General features: G+C 42.3%; 3 pseudogenes; all 3 read left to right on the top strand.

The window, feature by feature from the left end:
* Positions 2,659-3,225, top strand: IGHV1OR15-2 (immunoglobulin heavy variable 1/OR15-2 (pseudogene); annotated as a pseudogene).
* Positions 7,599-9,334, top strand: SLC20A1P3 (solute carrier family 20 member 1 pseudogene 3; annotated as a pseudogene).
* On the top strand, positions 10,863-11,308 carry IGHV1OR15-9 (immunoglobulin heavy variable 1/OR15-9 (non-functional); annotated as a pseudogene).

The raw sequence follows: 12,387 nt of genomic DNA, 5'->3' as shown, positions 1-12,387 counted from the left end.
TTATTTTTCTCCAATAGATAAATTTTCACAATTTATCTATTGTGAAACTAAACTCTCTGGCACTTTAGTTTAAAAGACTGGCTTCCTAGGAAAAGGCTTCTTTCTAACAATGATGAGCTCATTTCTTCTGCAAACCATCAAGTTTGAGCCTCATTGTCAAGAATCATGAAAATTTTAACTCTGATATACTGAAAGTCATGACTCTTGAATTTATTATTTATTGGCATTGACAAAAGTGATTCATTCTTGGATGTATCCTATGTTGCTGGCCAAACATATCAGTGAACTGAGTATCCTCCCTTAGCTCTCTCTGTCTGTAGCACTGAGTCTACAATCTTCAGAGTCATCCATGAAGGGGAGTCCTGAGGTTCATGGGATTCTTGTAAACATTCAGGTGAACAGAAGAAAGAAACAGGATTGAGGGCTGCCAGCTATTTCCATGCCATTAGGAATAATTACCATCTAAGTATAAAGGTCTACATTGTACAGAATACCCTACAGGATAGGCTGATGCAAAAAATTCCAAACCCACAGAGGCTCCACAGCAACCCTTACAGTTCTTTCAGGGAAGAAATAATCTCCAAATTAAGTGAGTCAGGAAAGCTGCTCTGAGCTATAGGAAAAATTGGATTTGGCCCAGGTTTGTCTGAGTTCAACGTAATTATTATACTCAGCTCCTGCTCCAATATGGACTGAGTATGGGGAATTTAAATGAGCCTGGCTGTGTGGTTTGTTATATGAAAATCTGAACTAAATAAACATAAAAGGCATGTCTGGACTAGCATGAGGGTGAGAGATCTTGGGAACCCCACCCCCATACTCTTATCGCCCTTTCCTCCAGGAACCTCCAAGTTCTCAGGGTGAGAATCCACATAGATCCCTTCATGGCTCTATTTCCAGGAAACCAAATCTCTAATAAATACACCCAGACTTTCTTCAGACCCACAAACCATGGGAAAGGCATTTTTAGATCCTCATCTATGTGGGGAAAGGTAATCCATCCCCATTACAAGCCCATACTAGCAGCCTTCCTTTATCATGAAAATGGGTAAAATTAGCCAATAGATGTAAATTTAAGGAAAATTTCCTGTGATGTTCCAGCCAGAAAAGAGCAAAAATCAGCTTCACCTCTGGAGACTTCCTGTATAGGGCACAGCCCAGAGGAAGAAGACCACCACAGCATTAAGATTCAACTGTAAGAACATGTAATGCTTCCGTGTTCCACACATTACGTCTCACCAGTTTAGTCAACATGGATTAAATACGAGAGTGTGGCAATGCACAAACTCTGAGGAGGAAATAGGAGAAATATGTTAAGGAAAATAGAAGAATTCGAAGCCTCTGATACCAGGAACTTCAGCACAAAGGAAATGATTTCACCCTCATTGGCCTCAAATTTACTTTTCCTGTGGCATCTGCATGGTTCCAAAGTGAAAAAAATTAATTCAATGCGCATGTACTTCCGAAGTGTCCACTTGCATTCTGATATCTTTACTTCTATTTGCAGAAAGTAGACACATATGCAGCCTTAGTGCCAGTGTAGGGAGTGCTTTCCTTAACACGGATACCAGAAAAATAGGGTAAACATAGGGCCCATTAATGTGAAAATTAGCCATTGTGTGTGTGTGTGTGTGTGTGCGCGCGTGTGAGTTGAATAGTAGAGTTGGAGTGGGCTTCTATCAACCTGCACCTGCCAGTGTTCTCAGGTGCAATAATCAACTTCAGGACCCTAAAGGAAATAAGAGCCCCCCCAAACCCCTGAAGACTTTTTGGATTCACCGTGTGTCCAATGATTCAGTGCCTCTTGAGCTCCAGGAAAGGTCTCCCTGGTGATGCATGAGATCTTACTTGGGGTCTCTCTGCAAAGTTCTCTGGGTTTCCTAAGGCCAATTCACTATTTCAAAAAATGGTGTGAGAAGCACAGGCTGTCACTAAAGGAGAATTCTGAGCCAGGGCACAGCCACTTTATACTTGGCTGGAGACACTGGTAGGAATATACTCTGTGAGCTCAGACAGGAACCTCCCTGCAGGGGCGGGGCGGGGCTGCAGGGGGCGCTCAGGACACACCGAGCACAGGCTTCCGCCCCAGAGCAGGAGCGCAGGAGGCTGGGGAGAGGTTCCTCTTAGGGCCTGGGACTTCCTTTAAAAAATCTAAAATAAGTATTTCAGAAAGACTGCTGATGTTCACATAAATACCCTATTTAATTGTCAGCATTTATGAAACTCGATGTTGTAATGAGAACCACTTTTACAATGAGGATTTCAAACTCCCCTAGACATCTTAATAGTAAGCAGCTGGAGGTCTGGAGGAGATCCTTTCTTATAAATAAGTGCAATTTTTGGAGAAACACACTCATTCCCAAAATAGCACATTCACATATTAAGGTCTAGAAATGATTCAAGTTGCCCATGAGACAGTCAAATGTGGGTTCAAAGTGAGGTGCGTGTCCTGGGGGAGCTTGTTCTCCAGTGGGGGAATCTCTGTCAACACAGAGTTCAGGGATGTGTAGGGGTCGCATCGCCTCTAACAGGATTACGGCTTGAACCCTCAGCTTCTACAATTGTGTCGTCCATGTGTCATGTATTTGCTCTTTCTCATCCTGGGGCAGGAATTGGGCTATTAAATAGCATCCTTCATGAATATGCAAATAACTGAGGTGAATATAGATATCTCTGTGCCCTGAGAGCATCACACAACAACCACACCCCTCCTTGGGAGAATCCCCTAGATCACAGCTCCTCACCATGGACTGGACCTGGAGCATCCTTTTCTTGGTGGCAGCAGCAACAGGTAAGGGACTCCCCAGTCCCAGGGCTGAGGGAGAAACCAGGCCAGTCATGTGAGACTTCACCCACTCCTGTGTCTTCTCCACAGGTGCCCACTCCCAGGTGCAGCTGGTGCAGTCTGGAGCTGAGGTGAAGAAGCCTAGAGCCTCAGTGAAGGTCTCCTGCAAGGCTTCTGGTTACACCTTTACCAGCTACTATATGCACTGGGTGTGACAGGCCCCTGAACAAGGGCTTGAGTGGATGGGATGGATCAACACTTACAATGGTAACACAAACTACCCACAGAAGCTCCAGGGCAGAGTCACCATGACCAGAGACACATCCACGAGCACAGCCTACATGGAGCTGAGCAGCCTGAGATCTGACGACATGGCCGTGTATTACTGTGCGAGAGACACAGTGTGAAAACCCACATCCTGAGGGTGTCAGAAACCCCAGGGAGGAGGCAGCTGCAGTGAATTTGAGGAGATTACAGGGCTTACAATGTTTAAAGTTGTTTAGAAAATGAGCTGAGCAACTGAGGAATGTAATAGAAACATGGATGCACTCTATATAGGAAATGTTTCTTTCAGCTGTCACCCTATATGCAAAATTCAGAGTGGTAAAGACAGCAATCAGTGAGGCTGATGCAAAGAATCCCATGGAGGCCTTGTGCAGACATAGGTTTTAAAATCAGATAGATAAATAATTTGGAACAAGATTGCTGGTAACATGGCTAAGACTAAATATGATTCCTAAAAACTGGCCAAAATGCACTCCAAATTGTCTCTGCCACTCCTTTTACATAAAATGTATTAAAAAGTAGTTTTAAGACCACAGCAAAATTGAACAGAAGGTGCAGAGAGTTCTCATGTGCCCCTGCTTCACCATGCACAGCCTTCCCCACTGTCACCATCCTGCCCCAGAGTCATCAATAAGTTACAATGGATGAACTTACATGGGCAGATTTGTTCTTTCCTCTTCTGGTGGTCTCTTGGCATACCAAGCCCAAATTATCTTGAAGCACCATAGGTTCTGCTGTAATGCCTAACCTTGTTTTTTACTCTAGCTTGCTACTTTAAGTTTTCCCTTCTTTTGTCTCCTTAATTGCCAGCCACGTTTCCCATATGAATAGACTCTCCCTGGCTGGGAAAGCCGGACAAACTCCATTTGATCTTTTGATTTACAAGACATTAAGGCTCCTTATCCAACCCCCTTCTTCAAGGAGTTAACCTATGTAAACAGATCCTCAGCATTTCAAAGGAGCCCAATTAACTGATAAGGTACTGGAACAAACAATGTATGAAGTTACCAGGATTTTTCTCAAAGAGATAACAACATAAAGCCTTGAGTTCGTGCCCAGCATAGCATCTATATATAACTCAAATCAAGGATTTAGAGCCCTGCACCTGGTACTGTTGCTTTTTGTAACCATTTGTCTTTTAAATTGTTTATCACTCTGTAACCATTTGCTTCTTTTGATTCTTGCATGTTTTTACTTCTATAGAATTATTGTATTTGAGTTCCCCTCCCCTTCCTAAACCAAGATATAAAAGTTAATCAAGCCCCTTCCTCAGGGCCGAGAGAATTCTGAGCGTTAGCTGTCTCTTTGGCCGCCAGCTTAAATAAAGGACTCTTAATTCGTCTCAAAGTGTTGCATTTTCTCTAACTCGTTTGGGTATAACACTACAAGTGGGTTCCTGGGAATGATGCCAGTTCAGAGGAAAAGTGGGTGGGGCTATTCATATTTGGGCTGTTTTTTAGAGGATTCATAAAACGGATATTTTCCTATACATTCTGTGACTCCTGATTTACTATGTCCCTTCCCAGAGGGTAAGGTCCCTAAGTGTTTAGCAGTATATCCATGTCTATGGAAAGAAAGCAAGTTCTGGTGAATCCCATAAGGAATGTCCTTTGATGAGAAGTGGAGACCTTGGTCATGATGCACATCATGTATGTTTTTCTATAATTCCATTAGATTCACTGTAATTTTGGGGGGTGTCCTGTGGAATGGGTCTTCTGTGTCCCTGCATGTTCAGCTATATCTGTGTGGTGCCACTTACACTTAATGAGATGAGATTCCTGCTGCTTGTGTCAGGTCACTGGTGATCTCTGAAGCTGCTTCTGGTTTCTGCTTCAATATGTAAAAAGCATGTCAAACATCACCCACTTTCTTACAATAATAAAAGCCTGGAAAATTGATTATCAATAATTTCTTGAATCTGTTGAAGAAATGAAATTGCAGGGAAAACCAGGACCCCCAAAACTAGAAAGACATTAAAATAGAGATAATCAGACTGATGGATCAAAGTTCTGTGGCAATAAGATACCAAATTATAAACAAGGCCTAAAGTCATGGATTAAGTCACTCACCCCTACACTTAAAAAAATGACTATATTGTAACTTCCACAGGGCTTTTTTGTTTTCTGTAGCACCTAAACAAGCACTGGTTCTGAGGTAAGCATATTAAAACATTTGCAGCTCATGGAACTCCAAACATGTGGTAACTGTGACCCTGTTCCACAAGCCATAAATAGAGCTTTGATTGGACAAGAGACAGATTTCAGTAACTGTCTTCTGAGAAGAGACCACTGACCATGAACTTGTCTTGGCAATTTACAGAGACTGTGCAGTGTGTATCTTTCAGCCCCTGCACAAAGCCCTTTTGATGAACAGGGCCCAATTTTCATTCATTTAGTTCTTAAGTCCTCACCCCCAAAGCAAACACTAAGTGCATGTAACGTGTGTTTGCTTATTAGACATGAGAGCCTGCCCACTATGTGAATATCAATAGATCCTCCTATAGTCTGCTGAATGTGTACACTTGGCTTATCCATTTGCATGAATTCATTTATCCTCTTTCCCTCTCTTGAAGTGCCTGCTCACTGTCTCTGTGGGAAGCTTTGCTTCCCAGCCTGTTAAGATGGCTGTCCTGCAGCTTCAATCATTTATCGGAAGTAAAATCTCCTTTCTAAATTTATAAATTGTGTGACTCTTCCGTTGAAAGTGCAAGCTGGTGGGAACAGTTACATGGTAATTCAGTAAATTTCTGGTGGACAGGTGTGGACAGGGATAGGGTAAGAACTCCTGGGGGCTGCACACCCCACACTTTGATGGAATTTCCCTCCAGAAACTTCTGGGTTCTCAGGATGATAATCCAAACATTCCCTCATGGCTCTGTCATCAGGAGAGCTATTCTCTGATAAATATGCTCAGAACTTCCTCCAGACAGATCCTATAAAGAAAAAATGCTTTTCAAGATCTCTATTCTATGTGAGGGGAAGGTATTCTTTTCCATCCCAGGCAGTTTCATCTTAGTCTTCCTGTGTCATAAAAAGGGGCAAAATTAATAAAACAACTGGGGGTCAAGTTCAAGACAATAATATGTGGATGCTGCAGCCAGGAGGGGGGAGTAGAATGATGGAGGAAAATCAGCTGTACCACTAGAGACTCCTTGTAAAGGGCACAGTCTAGAGAAAAAACATCAAGAAAACATTGAAATTCAATTTCCAGTACATATACTGCTCCCCTGCCCATGACATTACCTCTTCACCAGTATGATCAATCTGGATTAAAGAGAAAAGTGTGGCAATGCACAGACTCTGTCCAAGGACTAGAACTTAGGAAAACCAAAGGCAGAGGGAGAGGATAAGTTAAGGACAGTGAAGCGGTTTAAAGCTTCTGAGACCAACAGCTTCAGGACCAAGGCCATGGCCCCTCTGTCAATGGCCTTAGATTTACCTCTCATGGGGCATCCACAGGGTTCCCAGGTGAGAACGGGCAAAAACAAGGCGAAGACACTTTCCAAATCTCCAGGAGTACTGAGCTTGCTTTAGCTCTGTTTGAAAAAACAAAACAACAACAACAAACAACAACAACCGTAAATATAACCAGGATTAAGGTCAGTGTTGGAAGCATTTTTATTAATTTTTTTAAATTTTTTATTTCTTAGATGGAGTCTCGCTCTGTCTCCCAGGCTGGAGTGCAGTGGTGCGGTCTTGGCTCTGCAATATCCACCTCCTGTGTTCAAGCAATTCTCCACCCTAGCCTCCCAAGTAGCTGGGATTACAGGTGCATGCCACGGCACCCAGTTAATTTTTGTATTTTTTAGTAGAGACGGTGTTTTGCCATGTTGGTCAGGCTGGTGTCAAACTCCTGACCTCAGGTGATCTGCCCAAGTTGGCCTCCCAGACTCCTGGGATTACAAGTTAATTGAGTTAATAAAGCTGTTCTGAACTATGAAAAACATTAGTTTGCTCCCAGATTTGCTTGATTTCAATTTGATTATTATATTCAGCTGTTGCCCTAATATGTTTGAGCATGTTACTATTTAAATGACCCTGGCTGTTTGATTTGTTATATATAAATCTAAACTAAAATAACTTAAAGGACAGGTTTGTACTATTATTAGGATGAGATATTCTGGGTGCCCCTCATTTGCTCCATGAACCTCCACATTTTTAATTTAGAATTCACATAAATTCCTTGTGAGTTGGGTCAGTCATTGAGAGACCTAATCTCTAACACCTTTACCCAGAACCTTCTCCAGATAGACCACCCACGGGAAGAACATTTATAATAATTTATCTACATGGTGAAAGGTACTTCACTGCCATTGTAGAACCCTCTTCCCAGCCTTCCTTTATTAGGCAAGTGATTGCCAGTATGGTAAGATTGAACAAAAGGATGTGCCAGTAGGGTAAGATTGAGCAAAAATAGTCCTGAGATGCTGCAGACAGGGAAGGACATAATAGACAAATATCAGCTTTATTAGAGGAAACTCCTTGTAAAGGTCACAGCCAAGAAACAGAAGATAACAAAATCACTGAGATGAAATTCTAAGAAACTTGGTCCAGTTCAATCAAGCCATCAACAGCCAGGTGGCTTTAGTGGCCACTATGCATATTACCCCATGCCTAAAGGTTCTGGTACAAGAGCTTCTCTATAAGTTGCACATTGCCATAGTGGAAGACGGCATGGGAGATTTGGTGGCAAACACTTACGGTGCAATAATAGCTGTTTTTCCTATATCATGACAATATGTGGCACACTTCTAGACTCATTTCATGCCAAAGAAGTTCCTCAGAAGGGTAAGGAAATGGAGAATCTTACATGGTCCAATGCAGTCCCCAAGAAGTAATTTTGAATGGACAGTTACACTGGTTACTACAATGCTGTCTCTGACCTTCTCAGGATCGAAGATAATCATGAGTATCAAGGTGGAGATGGGTCTAGGCGAGAGAAAAGGAAGTAGTGGTTCTTGAGAAGAATTGTATGGCCAAGATAAGCTTGAACTATCTCTCCTCTTCCAGTTCCTGCAACTTCTTATTGCCTGATTGAGGTCATTACCCTATGGTGGTAATGACATCAGCAATGTAATAAATTCTCTCGTGGCTTTGTATCTGGTTTATAACATGGGAAATGTTTCCTCAAGAGTGGTGATGCCAGTATGGCTTCTGCTCTCTGGTGGTGTTGGAATCTGCATTAGTCTGTGGGTTTGGAGGAGAGTGATTCAGGCCATGGGGAAGAATCTGACACTGTAACACCCTCTCGTGCCTTCGGTACTGGACTGGCTCCTGCCCCCTCACTATGGTGATTGCATCAAATATCGGCCTCCCCATCAGTACAACACGTTGTAACATGGGCTCCTTTGTACCTGGCTTTAATCCAAGAAAGTTGTTGACTTGACTCTTTCGTGATATTGTATAGCCTGGTTTGTCACAGTCTTTATTTCTGGAATTGTCAGTGCTGCCATCTTGGCTGTCTTCAAGTATGTCATCCTCACAGTGTGAAGCTGTTTGACATTAACATTTTTGTCAATGTTTGGGACTACCTTACATATTCCGGCCCTCTCAAAGAATGATTACAGTGTTAGGGAAGGCTGACACGAGTCTACTTAAATTTGGGAGCCAGAGAAGGAAAGTGTTATTGTGCTACAGTTGTTTGGTGATAAATATGGTTAGGTTCAAAACGAGCTATGTAATGTAGCCAGGTTTCCACTGAGTTCCACTTTGCTTCTTGGCTGTCTATTCCTGTGCATGTTTCTATACATTTTGTATCAGGCTTCAATTCCATTATGTTTAAAATGTTGTCTCTAAAGATAACCAAAGATTTTTTTAAAACAGCCAAACATGCAGTCATTTGACAGAGTGTGCTCTGCATTGTTAGTCTCACCATCTTCTGCCCTAACAAGCACTGAATCTGACAACGCAAATATCACTGAAGCTTTCCTTGGAGTAGCTCCTGTAATTAGAATAATTGGTACTCTGCCCTCCTGTCAGTGGTGGAACGTTCTATTGGCATATGTGGAAGCCTCTTAGAGGGACGAGTTTCTTTGAACACAATAAAATTTTAAGTTAGGAATAACTTATTTGAAAGCAATTCATTGAAGGTTATTGCTAAGAAGTTAGAAGCAAAGTCTTTTGGCAGTCATTTCTTCAAGATGTATGGCAGTGTGGGAGGGATATATAAAGTGGAATAGGAACTTGGGCTAGTTAAATGGAATAGTCTCCAATGTTAATCTGTTTACCTCTTAACTGAATGAAAAAGCCTATAGTTGTAAGAAAAGAAAAAAAATACAATCCTCACACATTACCTTCTCATCAGCATAATTAATCTATATTGAAGATGAGTGTGGCAATGCAGAGACTCTATATAGGGAAATGTAAAGACAATGGGAGAAAAAATTCAAGGACAGTAGAGCAACTGGAAGCTTCTGACACCAACAGCTTGATGAACGGGGTCACTCAACCCTTGGTGGACACAGAGTCACTTCTCTTAGGGAAATTGCAGTATTCTCAGGTGACAATATGCAAACATGATGAATGTACACTTGCTACGTCTCCAATTCTGTACTGTTTTCCTTACTTCTGTTTGGAGAAGGAAGTCATATACTCAGGTCTAGTATCCATGTAGGGGGTGCTCCCCATTTGCAAGATACTAGAAAAAATGGCAAGTTAGAGGCCCACTGTTGTAAAAATCAACTAGTTCTGTGTGTGTTTGTATGTGTGTGTGTGTGTGTGTGTGTGTGTGTGTGTTATTGAAAAAGAAGACATGGAGTGGGCATTCATCCACAAGTATATATACCTACAGGTATTCTTAGATGTAATATTCAATTGCAGGAGACCAAACAAGATAAAGCATCCCCGAAAACCCTTCAAAATTTTTGTGCTTACAATGTGTCCACTGATTAAATGCATCCTGAGCTCCAGGGAGGGGCTCCCTGATGGTTTCTTAGAGTTCACTGGGTCTCCTAAGGTCAATGTTTTCAAAAGATGGTGTCAGTAACATATGGTGTCACTGAAGGAGCATTTTAAACTAGGGCATGACCTCTTCCTATAGCCCTAGAAACACTGAGAGATAAATCCTCTGTGAGCCCAGATGGAAACCTCCATGCAGGGCAGAGGCAGTGCTGCAGGGGGCACCCAGGACCCACCCAGAGCAGGCTCCAGCCCCAGAGCTGGTGCACATGAGGCTGCAGAGGGGATTTCTCTGAGAACTGAGTGTTGTTTTATTGAAAATCAAAAAATTATAACATGTTAAAATTAGAATTTTGCAAAGACTATTTCTATTATCTCTATACATTTAGAAATAAATAAATCAACAATTCAGTGAGAACCACATTTAAAAGGCAAAATTATTACAGGTTTGAGATATTTTCCTAGTAAAAAGATGAAGAACAGGGATGATTTTATTAAATCAAAATGTACACATTTCAGAAGACACATAGATCCCAAGAGTAAGACTGCAGACAGCAAAACCTAGAAAGAGTGGAGGCTGTCCATGTGCTATGTCCTGTGTGAGTCACCTTCTTAGTGGAGAAGTTCTCCCTTCACAAAGTTCTGGGCATATAAAGGGAAACACGACATTAAATAAGAATGAGGACTTGCACCTCAGCATCCCACAGTTGTGTGGCTCATGTGAGATCTATTTTCTCTTTCTCATGCTGGATCAAGTGTAAGGCTATGAAGTAGTAGTTCTTGTGAATATGCAAATCACCTGAGGTGAACACTACAGATATGTCTGCGCCCTGAGAGCATCACCCAATAACCACACACGTCCTCTAGAGAAGCCCCTGAGAGCACAGCTCCTCACCATGGGCTGGACTTGGAGGATCCTGTTTTTGGTGGTCATAGCTGCAGGTAGGATAATTCTCAGTCCCCAGGACTAAGGTGACTGGGTCCAGTCAAAGGGGGTTTTATCCACTCCTGTGTCCTCTCCACAGGTGCCCAGTCCCAGGTACAGCTGATGCAGTCTGGGGCTGAGGTGAAGAAGCCTGGGGCCTCAGTGAGGATCTCCTGCAAGGCTTCTGGATACACCTTCACCAGCTACTGTATGCACTGGGTGTGCCAGGCCCATGCACAAGGGCTTGAGTGGATGGGATTGGTGTGCCCTAGTGATGGCAGCACAAGCTATGCACAGAAGTTCCAGGGCAGAGTCACCATAACCAGGGACACATCCATGGGCACAGCCTACATGGAGCTAAGCAGCCTGAGATCTGAGGACACGGCCATGTATTACTGTGTGAGAGACACAATGTGAAAACCCACATCCTGAGAGTGTCAGAAATTGCAGGGAGGAGGCAGCTGTGTTCCTGCAGAGGAGATGACAGGGAAGATGAGGTTTAAAGTTGTTTAGAAAATGGGTCAAGTAACTGAGGACAAGGATCAATAGAAACAAGGACACACTCTAATTTTATAATAAATATTTTATTCAAGAGTCACCGTATACAGAAAATTCAAAGATTAGGAAAGGCCCTGTATTAGTCCATTATCATGCTGCTAATAAAGACATACCTGAGACCAAATAATTTATAAAGAAAAGTGGTTTAATGGAATCATAGTTCCACATGGCTGAGGTGGTCTCATAATCATGGAAGAAGATGAAGGAAGAGTAAACTGATGTCTTACACGGCAGCAGGCAAGAGACACCTTGTGCCAGGGGAACTCCTGTTTATAAAACTGTCAGATCTCATGAGACATATTCACTACCACGAGAACAGTATGGGGGAAACCGCCCCCATGATTCAATTACGTCCACCTGACCCCACCCTTGACACATGGGAATTATTAAAACTCAAGATGAGATTTGGGTGGGGATACAGTCAAACCATATCAATAAAGCTGATACAAACATTCCCATGAATATATTATTGTGAACAAGTTTTCAAATTAGATGGATGAATAATTTGAGCAAGATTATTTGATCACATGGTAAGACTAAGTATGATTCTGAAAAATGTCCAAAATGTCTTCCAAGAATGTCTCTGCTACTGTTGTTGCATAAAATTTATTTTAGAGTGGTTTTAGGATAACAGTGAACTTGAACAGAAAGTACCAGAGCTCCCAGGAATCCCCATCCAACACAGGCACAGCCTTCTCCACTATCTGCATCCTGCACCAGAGTCATATCAGCAAGTTACAAATGATGAACCTACATGGACACTTTGGTTCTTTCTTTTCCTGGTGATCCCGTGGTGTAACAAACATAAATTATCTTGGAGCACCAGAGGTATTTTCAGAGGGTTTCTAGGAATGATATTAGAGGGAAAGTGGGTAAGGGTATTCCTATCCATGCCTCTAAAAGTCCAGCAAGTTCTAGTGAATTCTACAATGAATGTT

The sequence above is a fragment of the Homo sapiens genome, chromosome 15 (assembly GCF_000001405.40).
Source record: "Homo sapiens chromosome 15, GRCh38.p14 Primary Assembly".
Classification (NCBI taxonomy): Eukaryota; Metazoa; Chordata; class Mammalia; order Primates; family Hominidae; genus Homo; species Homo sapiens.
Note: the sequence above shows the minus strand (reverse complement) of the source record. Positions and strands in the feature narration are given on the sequence as shown.